Here is an 18,497-nt window from a genome sequence, read left to right as displayed (position 1 = left end):
CCACTTAGCTCTACAACAGAAGCGCAGACAAGCAGAGTATGGTGCCCAGGAGCCTAGCAGAAGGATAGTTGGGGGAAAAGGATCAGGAGCTCAGGTAGATGAAGGTAACAATTATGGGTCAGGATGCACCCAGTTTTGCTGAATAAGAGAAAGGGATACATGTGATAAAACTGGAGCTTTGTCCTGAGCCTCTGACTTGGTGAGGCAGGCTCATTCTTTGGAATTGCTGTCCAGGGCCAACCTGATCACTGTGGGAAGTCCCGAGCCTGCATGTGGAGCAAGTCAGAACAACTGAACGGAGTGGGAGTGTGGAGGCAGGGAGGCCGCAGTTTGTTCCCTATCATGCCTCCCAACTTACTAGGGGGTGACCTCATCCTTTCATTCAATTGAATGTGTAGGTGTGTGGACCTGGGCGCGTAGAATCTGCTTGTAAGGCTAGAGATCGTTCCTCATTTTCACCACTAGAGGGCTCTTTCAACAGATCAATGAGGGACCCAAGAGATTCAGAGCTCTCTCCAGGGCGGGCTGGAGCTAGACTCTTGTCTACTAATAGCCCTTTCTGATCCCACTTATCTGGCAGAAGACTAGGAGACATTCAGACATCTTGCAACTGATGTCTGATTCTCTTATTAAGACTTTTGTTTTCTTCTATTGGGCTGTCAGCTAGTGAAGTAGTTGGCACGGTGTATCTATTTATGCTTTTTCCTGTCCATCTTCTCATAACATCTGGAGGGGTCAGTGATCCCTGTAAATGGTTGTGTCATTTAGGAAGGAGTACTCTCAGTTGCTTCAATTCAACAGATGCTTTTCGAGTGCCTACTATGTGCAAGGCATTCCCCTATGTGCTCAGCACCTTGGAGAATACAAAGATATGATTCCCATCCCCCAGGGAGAAGATTATGCAGTTGGGAATATTTTATTAGTGAGTTCACTTTGACTGTAAATGGCAAAAACTTACCAGAGCTAGCTTAAGAAAATGGGGAATTTAGTACAAGAATATGACGATGTTTCAAGGAACCACAGGGCAGAGGTTCAATCAGGCCTTGGCAGGGAGCTGGAACCAGCAAAAAAAAAAAAAAAAAAAAAAAAAAAAATGCCATCAGGAGTCTTGACAGTCACTTCATTTTGCATCTCTGCCTCTTTTCATATTTTTAGTTGAAAAATTGTTTTGCTTCATCTATTCTTTGATCCTTGAAATAGAAGCTAGATTTTGAGTTCTTATGTCATCTCTATTTAAGAAACCCACCCAGACTAAACTGGGAAGTTTTAGTCCTAATTCAAAATTTCCGGGAGAGACAACCTGATCAGCCTAGCTTATGTTGCTTGCCACTTCCTGGTCCATGCAGCTGTGGCCAACGATTCAGGGTCATGTACTATAAACGCAGCCATCAGGACCAGCCCCTGTGAGTTGTGGGAGGATAGTTCTTAGAAAAGGGGGAAATTCTGTGATACCTCAGAAGACTTCTGTGAAAAGTCTATGTGATCTACTTGTGGCACCACTCCAGTGATGTCCATGGGATCAGCAGTAAAATGTGACCACGAAGGAGAAGACAACATGGCAGGATATGGGGCTTAGAAGATATTGGACCCCAACTAACCTGGGTGTCAGTGGTACCAAACCAGCTTTACCTTTTGTCAGAAGAGAATGGAGCATCATCAGTTAGAAGAGAAAAAGTCTTCAGAGGTAAAGGCACCCACATGTGTGTAAGTCAAGGAGATGATGAAAACCAGGCACACATGGACTAAAGAGTGTCATCCCCGCCATCTTGAATTCTCTCTTGATGTTCACACATAGCCTTGTTATGAGTTTTCTACTTTTAGATTCAACCTATAGAAAAAAGCATTAAAAACCAAATATGCTTACAAAACATTCACACATCATTATTTCAACTTCAGTCTTGTTAACCTTCTTTCAGTATTCTCTCTCTTTCTCTATTCTCTATTCTCTCTTCTTTCTCTATTCTCTCTTTGAACCCAATTACATGAAGTTATGTTTCTACTCTCTAGACAGTGATAGAAATTGGAGGTAGAAGGAGGGGAATGGTAGGATGTAACATCCTGATATTATTATACAAAGAGAATAGACAAGATATACTTCTAGAGTTGATAAAAGGAGATCTAGAGTATCTGGTATGTCATTGAAAATTAAAGATAACCAATATAAAAATAAAAATATTCTAATCTATATTTGGAGAAGAGAAGAAGAGAGGTTGAGGTGAAATGAACTAAAATAAAATGAAATGAGTAATGAGAATGAACAGGATGGGACCAGAACAGTTGTTTTTCACTACAGCCACTTCTATCTGATTTTAAAAATCTTATACATGTATGTTTTGATAAAAGTTTAAAGTTAATTCAAAAATAAATAAAAACAGTAAGCACTGTGCCACCTGTCCTTCTCCTCCAACTACCTCCTATTTTATTGATACAGAAATGCCAGGTGTTTCCTGTGACTCACCCATTGATTTCCTGTGCTGAGAATGCTCTTCCCTGAATATACTTTATATGTAAGAAACATTTATTTTAAAATAATTTTGAATTTACACACAAATTGCTGCCACTAGATATTGTCATGGTTCAATCCCTCACTTCATTCATACCTCAGCTCAAATGTCACCTTCTTAGAGAATTCTTTAACTGCTCTATCTAAAAATAACACCCCATACTTCTCTCTATACTCTCACTCTGCTTTTTCTTCATAGCATTTATCAATATCTGACATTATACTGTATATATGTACATATATGCTTTTGTGCTTATTGTCATCTTCCCAACTAAAGCCAAATAACTCCATGAGAACAGGTGCATTGTCTTGTTCAAATCTAAATTATCAGACCCTAGAATAGTGCTCAGGATATAGTAGGCATTTAAATAGTATTTGTTTAATCAACTAACTGCATAAGTAATTATTAAGATTTACACCTGTGACAGGCACTGATGAGCAAATAACAAGCAGGAAAGAGATTGCTCTTGATCACTTGAAACTCTTAGTCTCATGAAGAGGACAGAGACAATTGGACCAATAAGAGCAATTGCAGGCCAGATGCAGTGGCTTGTGCTTGTAATCCCAGCACTTTGCTAGGCTGAGGTGGGAGAATCACTTAAGGCCAGGAGTTTGAGACCAGCCTGGGCAACATAGTGAGACCTTGTCTCTCCAAAAATAAATAAATAAATAAATAAAATTAGAATTAGCCAGGCATGGTAGTGAACACCTGTAATCCAAGCCGCTCAAGAGACTGAGGCAGGAGAGTCCTTTGAGCCTGGGAGTTCAAGACTGCAGTGAGCCATGATGGTGCCACTGCACTCCAGCCTGGGCAATAGAGTGAGACCCTGTCTCAAAGAAGAAGAGGAGGAGGAGGAGGAGGAGGAGAAGGAGGAGGAAAAAGAAGAAGAAGGAGAAGAAGAGGAAGAAGAAGAAGAAGAAGAAGAAGAAGAAGAAGAAGAAGAAGAAGAAGAAGAAGAAGAAGAAGAAGAAGATGTTGTTGTTGGTACACCACTCTTCAGATTCTCTTTACTGAATTGATTCATTTATACACCTCTAGCCCTGACCTTTCTAACCCACAGCTGCCCCTTCCAGGGATAATTGGTCTCAGCTGATGGGAGCTGCCTCTCCCGAGGAATTAGAGCCCTTCTCCCTGCAGTCAGATACAAGGGTGCAAAAGTCTGGCCTCTTCCCAGAGGCAGGGACAACTCTGAGATACAATTTATGCTCTAGAGTCTTCCGATGATCAGGCCAAGACTACCACATCCTCGTTGGGCTTCATCTCCATCCTCTATGGTTGCCAAACCATAGTGTGCATTAGAGTCGCTTAGAAGGCTTGTTGAATGAGACATTATTGGGCTCCACCCTCAAAGTTTCCAAGGTGGGTGGTGCTTGAAGATGTTCATTTTCAGCAAGTTCTCAAGAGGTATTAATACTGCTCTTTAGGAAACCACAACTGGAGAATCATTGCCTTTTCTTATGCTTGTTCCCATACTCCCTTGGGGTTTTTCCTAAAGGTTACTTTCTCAATAAGTCTTTTGCATCCAAATGTCTGCCTTAGGCTCTGCTTCTAGGGAATGCTACCTAAGACAACAAGGAGGAATAGTAAGGAACTACATTCCCAAACAGTTCCCAAGCTTGATACATAGCAACCTGAGACTATTAAATCCCTAAACAGCTAAACTCCTAAAAGATCCTTGAGCCCAACAAGAAGCTTGTCCTTTCCAATTCCACCTCAGATGAATCTAGGGAGAGAGATGGACACAGAAGAACCTTCCAGGGGGCAGAGAGTAGGGTGATGAAAAGTAATGAATAAGGAAGTTTCTCTCTGAAAAGGGAACAGATTTGCCAGCCAGGAAAGTCTTCCATTCTTAGGAAAGACAAATATTATTCTTGCTCAGTTGATCACTTCTATACATGTGTGACTGCTGTGTGTACTTTAGTCTCTGCTTTTAAAAGGAGTTTTTTTTTTATTATGTGGCTCCTTCTGCACAATTAAATGATGGATGTGCTGGAAGCAAGTAAATTGTCTTTTAGTTTAGACCAAGAGAGGACACACCCAAACCTGCTGTAGAGGGCTGCAAGCTGCCCAGAAATCTTACCTTTTACGTGGATGAGACTTTGGGGGTGATGTCCTTTGGGTAAAGATAAATGTATTCTATGTATAGAATGACATTTTCTGACTAATTATCAGAGAAAAGCAAATTAAAACCACAATGGGGTATCATCTTTTTCCAGTTAGAATGGCTATTATTAAAAAGTCAAAAAATAACAGATGTTGGTGAGGATGCAGAGGAAAGGAAATGCTTACATACTGTTGGTGGGAATGTAAATTAGTACAGCCTCTATGGAAAACAGTATAAAAATATCTCGGCTGGGCGCAGTGGCTCACGCCTATAATCCCAGCACTTTGGGAGGCCGAGGCATGTGGATCACTTGAGGTCAGGAGTTTGAGACCAGCCTGGCCAACATGGTGAAGCCCCATCTCTACTAAAAATACAAAAATTATCCAGGTGTGGTGGCATGTGCTTGTAGTGCCGGCTTCTTGGGATGCTGAGGCAAGAGAATCACTTGAACTCAGAAGGCAGAGAGGCTGCAGTGAGCTGAGATTGCGATACTGCACCCCAGCCTGGATGACAGAGCAAGACTCTGTCTTAAAAAAAAAAAAAAAAAGAAAAGAAAAAAAGATTTCTTAAAGAGCTAAAAATAGGACTACTATTCTACTGTTCAATCAGCAATCCCACTACTGGGTATACTGGGTATATACTCAAAGGGAAATAAATAATTATATCAAAAAGATACCCACACTTGTGTGTTTTTTGCAGCACTATTCACAATACAAAAATGTGAAGTAAACCAAAGTGTCCATTAATGGAGGATTGGATAAGGAAAACGTGATATATATATGTGTGTGTGTGTGTGTATATATATATATATATATATATATATATATGCCATAGAATACTATGCATCCACAAAAAAGAATGAAATTATGTCTTTTGCAGCAATATGGATAAAATTGGAGGTCATTACCCTCACTAAAATAACTCAGAAACAGAAAGCCTAATGCTACATGTTCTCACTTACAAGTAGGAGTTAAACAATGCGTACATATGGACATACAAAGTAGAAAAAATAGACTTTGGAGACTCCAAAAGAGGGTAGGAGGGGGGTGAGGGCTAAAAAATTACCTATTGGGTACAATATTTACTATTTGGGTGATGGGTACACTACTATTTGGGTGATGGGTACACTACTTCACCCCTATGCAATATACGCATGAAAGAAAACTGCATTTGTACCCTCTAAATATATATTTTTCAAATAATGATATTTGCTGGCAAAAAAAAGTGGATTGTTACAGAATCTTCTAGTTACTTACCCAGTAGGCTTTCCTTATTTCTTCTTACATAAGACTCCAATTGTGACTGGGGACACTCTCTCTAGCTGAAATAAAGTTACATTGTTCAGTTTTCCTCACAGAGTAGGATGGTTTTGTCATAAAATTCTGACTGATACAATGTAATCAAAAATTGCAGTGTAGATAATGGCTAAAAGGTGAGAACAACCCAAGTATTCGTCAACAGACAAATGGATAAACATAATGTGGTATATACATAGAGTGGAATATTATTCAGCCATAAAAAGAGTGAAGTTCAGATACATGTCACAACATGGATGAATCTTGAAGACATTGTGCTAAGCAAAATAAGCCCGATGCAAAAGGACAAATATGGCATGATTCCATTTATATGAGGTACGTAAACAGGCAAGTGCACAGAGACAGACAGTAGATTAGAGTTTATCAGGGGCTGAGAGGAGACAGGAATGAGGAGTTATTGCTTAATAGTTACAGAATTTTTGTTAGATATATGAAACAATTTTAGAAATAGAGGTGATGATTGCATAACCTTGTGAATGTGATTAATGCCACTGAATTGTATGCTTACAAACATTTACAATGGCAAATATTATATATATTTTACCAAAATTTAAGAAAGGGAAAACCAAACTTGTTCTGTGGGTTTTCTGTAAAATCTCCTCCCAGCAGGTTTTTGGACAGACTTTGCTAGCACGTAGGTGACACCTTTTGCTCTTGGCTTTCTTCCTACCCGGAACTAGGACTTAATGGTGGAGTCAGATCAGCCATGTTGTTGCATAAGGTAACAAGCACATGTTTAGGATACCTGAAAATAAAACAGAAGAAGCCTGATCCAGGTGTGGTGGCTCATGCTTGTAATGCCAACTATTCAGGAGGCTGAGGTGGGAGGCTCACTTGAGCCCAGGAGTACATCCTGAGCAACATAGCAATATCCCCTCTCATCTCTAAAAGTTTTCTTTTTTTTTTTTTTGCCAGGTATGCTGGAGTATGTCTGTAATCCTGATTACTTGGGAGGCCAAGGTGGGAAGATCACTGGAGCCCTGGACATGGAGGCTGCAGTCAGCTATAATCCCATATCATTGCACTCCAGCCTTGGCAACAGAGATATACTGAAAGAAGCCAGAGTCCTTGATAGCATTATGGCGCTACTACTACAGGCCAAAAGCTTTTATCTCAACAATTCTCATTACATGATGAAAACAGACTCTTTCACGTATTTCACCCCTTTTCAAGTTTAGCAGGTGAGCACAATTCCTAATTTATTCAGGCAAGGAGACATGAAATTAGAGAGGTAGCCTATTGGTCATAAGCTTCTAGTTACAGTTAACAGAAATCCAACTTAAAGTATATAAGACAAACAGAAGTAATCAATTAATATATGTAACTTAAAAGTCCAAAGGTAGATATCTATAGCTTCTGGGGTCCGTCTCTCTCCATCTCAGACCTCCCCCCTCTGCACTTAGCAGGCTGTCTTCTCAAGCACCAAGAGCTCCTGGCTTGCATCTTACCAGCTGAGCAATCCTAGGAGAAAGAGGACATCTCTCCACCAACAGTTACAGTAAATGTCTTGGGGCTGCTTTCTCATTGACTCATTTAGTTCATACCCACCTGAACCAATCATAATGGACACAAAATGGAATTCACTGATTTCTAGGTTTGGGCTTCCTTTCCAATCTCTGGGCATATAGGAAGGAAAACTGGCCTTATTTTAATCCATGTGGATGGACAGTAGCATAAAGGATGATGTTTTAGAGAAAATCGAGGGTGCTGTTACCAGAAGAAGGTTGGATAAATGGTAGGAAGTAAAGAATAATAGCTATTCACTGTGCACTACAGATAAACAGATTCCAAATTATTCAGGGACTTTTAGCCATGTTAGGTCACTCAACAAGTATCTATTAAGATCTACTTATTTGCTAAGCACTGCTGTAGGTTCTAAGGGTACAGCAATGAGCAAGACAGATAGATTCCCTGCTTTGAAAGAGCTTATATTTTAGGTGAGGGAGATAGCCAGTAAACATGAAACCAACCAACAAAACAAACAAAAAAATGCAGGTAGTGAAAAATGCTGCAAAAAATAAACGTAAGCAATGTGATACAATATGACCAATCTTGGCAGTAGAAGGACTGCTTTAGGTAGCATGGTCAGTGGGGCATTCTGGGGAGGTGGTTTCTGAGTTGAGAAAAGTCAATAGTGAAGGAGGAGTCAGTTCTAAGAGGATCTAGAAAAAGGTATCCCCAGTGGAAGGATCATGAATGCAGCTTGTTGAAAAACAGAAATGGTCAAGTGGTAGACAAATGGTAAACAAGAGGAAAAATGGTAGAAAATCAGGTTAGGGAAGTGGACTGTGGCCAGACTGTATAGCCCTAGTTGGCCAGGTTAAATGAAGTTTGGGTGTTAATTCTTTTGCAGGGTGAAGCCATTGCACAATTTTAAGCAAGGGAGTTAACAAGATCTGATTTACAGTTCAGAGATTTCACTCTAGCCACAGAGTGGATGGCACAGGCAAGAATAAAGGCTTGGAGATGAATTAGGAGGCAGTGGCATTAACTCAGGCAAGAGATATTGTATTGATGTCTTGGATGTTAAGGAATATGACTGTTTCCTGAAAACTATGGGGAACATTGAGAGGTTTTAAGCGGGGAATGATGTGGTCAAATTTTTGTTTTGTTTTGTTTTGTTTTGTTTCTTAGTGGTACATCAGTGCCTTGTCTGTGCTCCATGGGACAAGAAATTGTAGCAGAGACCCGGAAGATGGCAAGAAAATAGCAGATCTCTTTGGCTCCAAGCTTCCCTAGGGCTTTGCTCTTCTTCTCACCACCTAGATTGAGGTATGAGGTGGGGAGGTTGTGAAATTGGCCATTTCCCCAAGACTTGACTTTAGAAACCAGACTCAGGATAAAGATCCCCCAAATTGTGTCTTGGACAAACTTTGCCAGAAGAATCAGGAGAAAGAACCTTTGTTCATCTCTAATCCAGAACAGGTTTTAGGAGAAAAACTTGAATCTATGGAAGCATCAGACCCTGCACTTAGAGCATGGCAGATAGTATTGGTAGAGAAAATGGGATGTGGGGCTAGAGAAGCTTGGGTTAGAGTCCTAATTGCATCATCTGTTGTGTGACCTTGAGAAATGTAATCTTTCAGTGTCACTTTTTCCTCATAAATAAAATATGGATAGTAATAGAAGCTATATCTTTGGTCAATGAAACCTCCTTCTTGTGTAATGAGGATTACATATGATAATACACATAAGTGCTTAACACAGTGCCTGGCACGTATTAGGTGTTCAATAAATGTCAGCTGCAGCTATAAATAGAAGTATGATGCCAAAGAAGCTGGCTCTTAATGAGATTTGCTTTAATCTGCCACCTTCAGAATAACAAACGGCTATTACGTGGTTAATCAGTTTCCCTGAGACTTACACAAGAGGAAAACAAAATGACCCAAGAGGCAGTTAGAGATTCAAAAGGTGTCTTTATTGAGAGATGATATAAATACTTCAAATAGACAACTAAGAAGCTTAAAACCTTCCTAAAATTTTGGAAACCTTCCTAAAATCAAGTGAAATAGAATGTAGTTTGGGGCTCTTCCTAGTGGCTTGGAATGTTGGCCAAATCCTCAAAGGTGAAAACAATAAGCATGAAATATTCCCACATCCAGAGCCAAAGAGCTGCCACATGACTCCCTAGCATTTACCAAGAGATGGCCAAGTGTGTTCTGTGGTCCTCGCTCTGATGACTCCCATCTCAATGATCTAGACTGAAGGCTGGAGTTCAATGAGGTGGGAGAAATGGCTAGGAGAGGAAGGTACTTTGGATTTTTCCTATTCCATCCCCATGATAGAAGAGGGAGTAGCTCTCGCCCACCAAGCAAGTAAGAGGAGGCCCAATCAGCTTGTTGGAGAGATTAGGGGAGACTGACATGCTACTCCCTGATGCTTGCTAACCTGTGGAGACTCTAGGTTGGTACCTAGAAGAGAGCAGTGGGTTCCAGCAGAACATTGTGTGGGACTACTGGGGAGAAATTGGCAAGTGTTGTCTGGTGTTTGGGGCACACATGAACACCTGAACATGGAGGCTGGTGCCTGGATTCTACCTGTAGAACTATGATAGCAAGGGGTTGGTTGGAACCACCTTCCACTGCAGAGCAGGAAGAGAGAGCATCACAAAGCAGCTTACACTTCCAGGATTTCGTGTAGCAGAGATGTGCTGAGTACCAAGTAGATGCTGAGAAAGTAACTGAGCTCAAGCTCTCTTCATGGGATCATGCCCACAAGAGAACAGCATATGGATGTCAGAGAGCAGCAGCCAAAATAGAACCACAGGCTGGGCACGGTGGCTCACACCTGTAATCCCAGCACTTTGGGAGGCCGAGGCTGGCAGATCACTTGGGGCTGTGAGACCATTCTGGCCAACATGGGAAACCCTGTCTCTACTAAAACTACAAAAAAATTAGCTGGGCATGGTGGCACACACCTGTAATCTCAGCTACTAGGGCGGCTGATGCAGGAGAATCGCTTGAACTCAGGAGGTGGAGGTTGCAGTGAGCCAAGATCACGGCACTGCACTCCAGCCTGGGTGACAGAGCAAGACTCTGTCTCAAAAAACAAAATAACAACAAAACAAAATAGAACCACTGATTGCACCATCTAAGTAAGACTTTCACCTCTCACCCTCAACCAAACCCCAGATGCCACCCTCCCATTTCAGCCCCAGGGGAACCTTCAACAGAAGAAGGGGAATGAGAGGACATCCCTCCTCTCATTCCCACTAGTGGAGGCTCTCCACTGATGGTCAGGCTAGAACTGGACAGAGGGAAAGGCTTTGAATGGAATGGGAGGTTGTAGTATTGATTTCAACTAAATTGGACTTTAAAAATATTTTTGTTATGAGAAATTCCCAAACATATACAAAACGGGCAGAAAAGCAGAATGAATGGATGCCCTTGTACCCATTGCTGGCTGCAACAGTGACTGACTCATGGCCAATCTTGTCATGTCTATGCTCCATTAACTATCATTCTGAAGCAAGTGCCAGACGTTCTATTGCCTCCAGATGGGGCTTTTGAATGCCTGCGCATGAGTTCTAATTACTAAAGTAAGGTTCTTAACATTGAAAATGACTGGAAGACCCTGGGTTCTTCTTGTTTATTTTTTTCAGTCTCTAAAGCATAAAGTTCCATAGGGTAGAGAATTTTTCTATTTTATTCACTGCACTAGCCCTATACTCATAATAGCACATAACACATAGTGGGTGCTCGATAATTATTTGTTGAATGAATTATTTGTTCAAAATAGCCTGGCCTCCCTTTGCCATAATCTGAGAAGTGCTCAGATTGAAGTAAAAGGTAAAATGTTTATTTTTTTTTCCTTTTTGCTACCCATCACAAGGTAAAATATTTATATTTTGTTACTCAGTTGGCTTGCCTCAGTACTGACCCAAAGTTATTGAGCAAAATGTCCCACCTTGAAGGACTGACTAGGGTAATTATCTCTTTGGAGAAACAGCTTCACAAGTGATTCCAGATAATGTTATGGGGGTTGCCTTTCCCTAAACCCTTCCACATTTTTAGCATCTTCAGGAGAATGTGCAAGCTGATAGCTCACAGGTTCTGATGTTTTGTTTTGCCTGCCTGGTTTTGCAATTTACACTGAAATGAATTGAATGTGGGCCCACATTCCTGCTGGCAATTGGTTGGAGGAGAGTAGCATCTGCATTTGATGAAGCATGCCTGCCTCTGTTTACTGCAGTCCCCAGCCCACCTTATGATCTTCTGCCTGAAGATCGCTCCTTAGTCACCTGCCTAGCTCCCATGGGTCCCCAAGATGCCTTGTGGATGAGACATTGAAGTATAGATTCCAATAACTCCCAGCAGTTTTTCCAAACAACATTATGATTTCATCCATGAAACCACCTGAGCCCACTGCCATTCTTTGAATAATTTTTCGGTTTTCTCCATGGCTTTACTCAGATTTTTTATTTCTTCTTTTGGAATCATTTTTTTGGCCATATATGTTTTTTAATAATCTATTTCATCAACATTTTCTAATTTATCAGCATGAAGTTATGCATAATAATCTCTTATTTTTAAATTAATTTATTAGTTTATTCTTCTTAACTATCATTCTGATTTCTTTCTTTCTTTTTTTTTTTTTTTTTTTTTTGAGACAGAGTCTGGCTTCGTCACCCAGGCTGGAGTGCAATTGTACGATCTCGGCACACTGCAACCTCCACCACCTGGGTTCAAGCAATTCTCCTGCCTCAGTCTCTTGAGTAGCTGGGATTACAGGCACCCGCCACAACACCACATAATTTCAGTATTTTAGTAGAGAAGGGTTTTCCCCATGTTGGCCAGGCTGGTCTCAAACTCCTGGTCTCCAGCAATCCACCTGCCTTGGCCTCCCAAAGTGTTGGGATTACAGGCATGAACCACTGCACTCAGCCTATTTCTTATTCTTAAAGGTCCCTTTTCCCTCTACTGCTCCTTGATCAGATTAAGTAAATATTTATTTCCTTTTATATTGATCCCCAACACCCACCAAATATCCATTTTTGAATTTTGTTTCATCCATGCTATATTGAGTATAAACATTTTAAAGTTTCAAATATATGGGTATCAGCCTTCTGTAATTTCCAGCACAGATACAGCAAAGGATTAGATGCCTGTGATTAAGTGATCAAGGTGCCAGAAGTTTGTCTGGATTGTTTATTAGTTTTCATTAACTTTTAAATTATTTTGTACTCTTTAATTAATCTGGAATTTACATTGATCTATAGTATGAGATGAAGATTTAATTTTGCTTTATTTATTCCCTTCAAATATTAATCAATTGTCCCAGGGTCATTTATTGAATGCTACTTCTTTTTCCATAGACTTGTATGACCACTTTTATTATCTAATAAAGTCAGGTACATGAAAGATTATCTTGGAGCTATCTGTACTATTCCATTGTTTATGTTGCAATTATTGTAACATAGTCCCATAGATCCATAGAGCACATGAGTTTATGCTACAATATTTATCATATTAATCTATGTTACAGTATTTATCTACTATGCTACTTTAATCTTTGAACCATTATAGTCCATTTTAATACCTATATTCAGAGTGTTCCTGATATGGTTTGGCTGTGTCCCCACCCAAATCTCATCTTGAATTCCCATGTGTTATGGGAGGAACCCAGTAGGAAGTAATTGAATAATGGGGGCAGGTCTTTCCCATGCTGTTCTCATGATAGTGAATAAGTCTTATGAGACCTGATGGTTTTTAAAAAGGGGATTTTCCCTGCACAAGCTCTCTCTCTTTGCCTACTGCCATCCATGTAAGATGTGACTTGCTCCTGTTTGCATTCTGCCATGATTATGAGGCCCCCCCAGGCCATGTGGAACTGTAAGCCCATTCAACCTCTTTCTTTTGTAAATTGCCCGGTCTTGGGTATGTCTTTATCAGCGGCATGAAAACGGAATAATAGAGTTACCTAATTATTCTTGACTTTCAAATTGTTCTTGGCTATTTTGTCCATTCATTCTTCTAGTCAAATCTTATAATCATTTTGTGAAATTCTTCCCCTGCTCATCAAAGGAAATTATATATAACAAAAATAAAATTAATAGGGGATTTTTATTAGAACTGCATCAAACCCATGCATTTATTTAGGAAGAACTGACATTATTAAATAATCATTCCTTAATTTCATTTATCTAATCTTGTTTTAAATTTCCTTGATGAACTTTTGTTATTTCTCTATATATGTTATGCACATTTCTAGTTACATTTATTTCTAGGCAGGGACTGCTTTATCCCTGATTATTTATTTACTTACTTATTTCTTTTGAGACAGGGTCTCACTCTGTCACCCAGGCTGGAGTTCAGTGGCACCATCATAGCTCACTGCAGCTGCAAACCTCTGGGGTCAAGGGATCCTCCCAACTTGTCCTCCCAAAATTCTGGGATTACAAATGTGAGCCACTGTATCCAGTCTATCCCTGTTTTAGAAGTGAAGATATTGACTGTTGCCCAAATTCCCACAGTTAGTAAGACATGGAGAATGGATTAAAACCCATATCCATCTGATGGCAGAGCCTGTTCTTAATCCCTCTGCTACTTTATTTAAGATTATATTATTTCTTGAAGGAATTTTAGTAATTATTTCCCAGAAAAGCATCCATTTCATCAAGATTTTCCAGTGAGCTAGCATAGAGTCTCACAATGTGCTTTCATTTCCTTTCCTAACTTCTTGAATCAGATGCCTACTTCATTTAATTTCCTTTTCTTCTTTTAATTAATGGAAATGATAATGGCTGCCCTCTCCTTTTCATGGCCCCCTATCCACTCCCTCTTCCTGAATTCAGAACCTAGTCATTCTGGCCTTTCTAAGTACTGGCTTGTCAATCTCCTGCTCCTGCAGTAGAAGGATGATCACTTCTAGACAGATATTGCTCTGGGCAAAGCAGCTCAAACTCTGAATCCTAGGTGTTGTAAGCTCAGTTGTGTTAAGGGGTTATATTGTCCAGCTATGTGTTCCTTGGTGACCCTGACTGGAGTCTCTCAGTCCACTTTTCCCCTGCTTGATTTGGTCCATGGAACAGCCAGAAATGATACTTTTTAAAAGTTAACCAGATAATGTCACTACCTGTAGTAGTCCGTTTTCATGCTGCTGATAAAGACATATCCAAGACTGGGTAACTTATAAAGAAAAAGTGGTTTAATGGACTCACAGTTCCACGTAGCTGGGGAGGCCTCACAATCATGGTGGAAGGCAAAAGGCACATCTTACACGGTGGCAAGCAAGAGAGAATGAGAGAGGAGAGAGAAGAGAGAAGAGAGAAGCAAAAGGGGAAACCCCTTATAAAACCACAAGACTTGTGAGACTTCTTTACTACCATGAGAACAGCATGGGGGAAACTGCCTCCATGATTCAGTTATCTCCTACTGGGTCCCTCCCACAATATGTGGGAATTATGGGAGCTACAATTCAAGATGAGATTTGGGTGGGGACACAGCCAAACCATAACACTACCCTATTAAAAAAAAAACTTCCAAATTTCCCATTTTTATTTAAACACACCCACATTTGTTACCTTGGTCAATGAGGCCCTGTGTGATCTGGCTGCAGCCTCCTTCTTTGACCTTATCTCATATCCTGTTTTTCTTGTTCATTGTTATGCTGTCCTCTTTTGTGTGTGTGTGTGAGTGTGTGTGTGTGTGTGCACGTGCTGTTCCTTGAAGGTACCAAGCCTTTCCCCAAACCCTACCTTTCCTCTCAGTGTTTCTGCTGCCTGGGATGCTCTTTCTCCAGGATCACATGGTGCAGATCCCACATCATGTCCTTCAAAGGCCATTTTCTCAGAGAGGCTGTGGCCAACAACCAGACTGAAGACAGCCACTTACGTTAATTCCACAAAGTGCATCACTATTTTTCCTCATGATCACAATTAGCAATGCCATTTTTATTGCTATGAGTTGAATGTTTATGTTCCTCCAAAGTTCAGATATTGAAGCCCTTATCCTCAATGTGATGGTAGTTGGAGGTGGGGACTTTGGGCAGTCATTAGGTTTAGATGAGGTCATAAGGATGGTGCACCATGATGGGATGTGATTCATTATAAGAAGGTGAAGAGAGATGAGAGCTCTTTTTCTCTGCCCCTTGATGATACAGTGAGAAGGTGGCTGTCTGTAAGCCAGAAAGAGAGCCCTCACTAGGGAGCCAAATTACCCAATGCCTTGGTCTTGGACTTCCCAGCCTCTAGAACTGTGAGAAAATAAATTTCTGTTGTTTACGCCTTTCAGACTATGGTTTTTTAAAATTATAGTAGCCCTGATAGATTAAGATATTTACTTACTGGTTTGTTTTCTTATCACCTGTTTGCTATGCTGGAGTACAAGTGCAAAAGCCTCATCTGTCTTCTTCTTAGGGCCTGGCATGGAGAGTGGTATATTGCAGGGGCTCCAAAATACATGTTGAATCAATGAATCAATAACGACCTCACCCTTGCAGCCTCCTAGCTGTGTGTTCTGGACAATTTTAAAAAAATAATAAAGACAGGGTATCACCATGTTTTCCAGGTTGGTCCTGAACTCCTGGCCTCAAGTGATCCTCCCTATCTGCCTCCCAAAGTGCTGGAATTACAGGTGTGAGTCACCATGCCCGACCCCTCTGGACAACTTAAGTATTTGAGCTCAGTTCCAAAAATGAAAATGACAATACTGCTGGCTGGGCGCAGTGGCTCACGCCTGTAATCCCAGCACTTTGAGAGGCTGAGGAGGGCGGATCACCTGAGGTCGGGAGTTCAAGACCAGCCTGACCAACATGAAGAAACCCTGTCTCTACTAAAAAAAAAAAAAAAAAAAAAAATACAAAAAATTAGCCAGGTGTGGTGTCAGGTGCCTATAATCCCAGCTACTCCGGAGGCTGAGGCAGGAGGATCACTTGAACCCGGGAGGCGGAGGTTGTGGTGAGCTGAGATTGTGCCACTGCATTCCAGCCTGTGCAACGAGAGCAGAACTCCATCTCAAAAAAAAAAAAAAAAAAGAAAGAAAGAAAAAGAAAGAAAGAAAAGAAAAGAAAATGACACTATTATGTTGTTTTTGAGCAAAAAAAGAAAAAAAGAATAAAATAAAATAAAATAATGCAGGTAGAGACCTTAGCCCTCAAGAAGTAGTACCACGAATCATCATCATCATCCATATTATTTAAACGTAAAAGCACTCTCAGAAAGGCAAGTGGAAAGTCTCCCAGACAAAGTTTTATAAGAGTGAAGTTTATTCATTTTGGAGTCAAATCAGACAAGTCAAGCAGCTAATTTTTAATTTAATTTTTTTTTGCCAGGGTTCAAGGAGTGATCAAGTTTTACAGGAACTAATTCACACTAACCATTTCTAATGGCAATCATTTATTGTTATCTTTCACTGTTCTGGAAATTAACTGGGATCAGCTATGTGGTTCTTGCTCAGAATCCTTCCCTGGTTGTGGTTAGATGGTGCTGGGACTGAGGTCATCTCAAAGGCTTTCCCACTCACATATCTAGTGATTGTTGCTGGCTGCTGGGTGGGACTTTAGCAGGGGTTATCAGAAGGAGCACCTCTCCATGGCTTCTGTGTGGCTTGAGCTTCCTCACAGCATGGTGGCTGGGTTTCAAGAAGGAGCATTGCAAGACATGGAGCCATGTAGAAGTTCTAAAGCCTTTCCTAACCTAGCCTTGACATCACAATGCATTATTTATGCCACATTCTACTCATTAGAAGCCAGACCATATTCAAGGGGAAGGGAAATTAGTCTCTACCTCTTGATGGGATGAGCATCAAGGAACTGGACATGTTTTAAGACCATGATACCAATCAAATTGATAGAAAATTGATGTATGGATCAGGTAATTCTTTAACAATTAACAATAATAAATATGATTGTCAAATGGATCAGGACATTCATATCAGCTCATCAATGCATTCTTTCTCCTGATAGGCATTATAGTATGATGACTAAGTTGTAGTTCTGAATTTATACTGAGCAAGATTAAAATGCTATCCACCTATTAATTTTGTGACTCTAGGCAAGTTCCTTGACCTCTCTAAGCAGGTTTCTTCTTTGGAGAGTGGATGAAGAGTGCTGGCACATGGGGAGCATTCAATATATGGTGATGACCATTGTAAGCTCCTACTTCTCCCTCAAGTCAAGTCCTTTGTTACAGATGCTCTAACCAGACATAAGGCATGCTTATTTCTAAAGAGGAGGCAAGGATGGAGGGCTCCTTGTCCTTACCTGGGTCACCTGTGGGACTTGACTTCCACTCTCCTCATCATGCTGACAGTTCTCAAGTGGGCCCCTCTAAAGGCTGGATTCCAGGCTGCTGGGGTGGGTGAGCATGGCAACATCCTCATCACAGCAGGCACGTGGCCAGGGACTCAGATCTGCCAGTGTGGGCGCCAACACTCTCTCCCCAGAAAAGCTGCTTGAAGGCATAGACTAGGGGAAGGGAAGATTAAAAATAAAGAGTGGTCATGTTCAGTTTTGAAATTAAAAGAGAGGCATGGACTCAAAGGCCCTTCAATTCTCTTGGCTTTGGGAGGAAGAGGGTGCTGAGTAGGGGGGACATGGTCGGGGAGCACCACGGGGCTTCCTTTCCCCAGAACCCTAATTCATGGGAACACCCAGAACTGGGCAACTGCATCTCATGGCTCACAGTTGTGGTCTCGCCTGAAACATAAATGTTTCATTTGCTTTGCAGGGTTTGTGAACTAGCAGTCTTGGTGTTTATTTTGTTTGTCCCTTACAGAGATTTTAAATTCTAAATTGTAAATGAGTTTCAATTGAGCATTGGCTTTCCAGTTAGCTCCAGAACTCCGTATTATCTGCGTCCAGCCTGCTCTCATCATCTACATCGTATACTTTCCTGGCTTCAATGATAGACATTCAGTTTGGTTGCATCCTACTTGCTTTGTGCTTTCTCTGCTCTTACAATGTCTCAAACTTACATGTATGGAGCACCCAGTGTATTATCAGTTATAACCTCAATTACTACCCCAGAAACCCTACAAGAGAGGGATCGTCACTCCATAGAGAAGGCAGCTAAGGATCACAAGAACTGACTTACCTGAAAGAGTATGGTTTGTGAAAATGGTAGAGCTGGTATTT

The 18,497-nt window shown here is 40.9% G+C and overlaps 1 long non-coding RNA gene across 1 annotated transcript, besides 1 other annotated feature; it reads right to left on the bottom strand.

Moving 5' to 3' along the window:
- Positions 1-900: 900 nt before the first annotated feature.
- Positions 901-17,657, bottom strand: LINC02194 (long intergenic non-protein coding RNA 2194). The gene is made up of 4 exons (NR_146569.1): positions 17,625-17,657; positions 5,865-5,929; positions 1,630-1,828; positions 901-1,054 (listed from the first exon to the last, which is right to left on the bottom strand). It is a non-coding gene; the product is annotated as a long intergenic non-protein coding RNA 2194 (long non-coding RNA).
- Positions 6,252-7,451: an enhancer, noted in NCBI's record as "MED14-independent group 3 enhancer chr16:24257631-24258830 (GRCh37/hg19 assembly coordinates)". NCBI's record gives its function as "activates an origin of replication core promoter dependent on BRD2, BRD4, P300/CBP and CDK7 cofactors, and independent of MED14, by STARR-seq in HCT116 cells {active_cell/tissue: HCT116}" and the evidence as "EXISTENCE:reporter gene assay evidence [ECO:0000049][PMID:35650434]".
- Positions 17,658-18,497: the final 840 nt, after the last annotated feature.

The sequence above is a fragment of the Homo sapiens genome, chromosome 16 (genome assembly GCF_000001405.40).
Source record: "Homo sapiens chromosome 16, GRCh38.p14 Primary Assembly".
NCBI classification, from domain to species: Eukaryota; Metazoa; Chordata; class Mammalia; order Primates; family Hominidae; genus Homo; species Homo sapiens.
The sequence above is the reverse complement of the archived record's forward strand: the minus strand, read 5'-3'. Positions and strand labels throughout refer to the sequence as shown.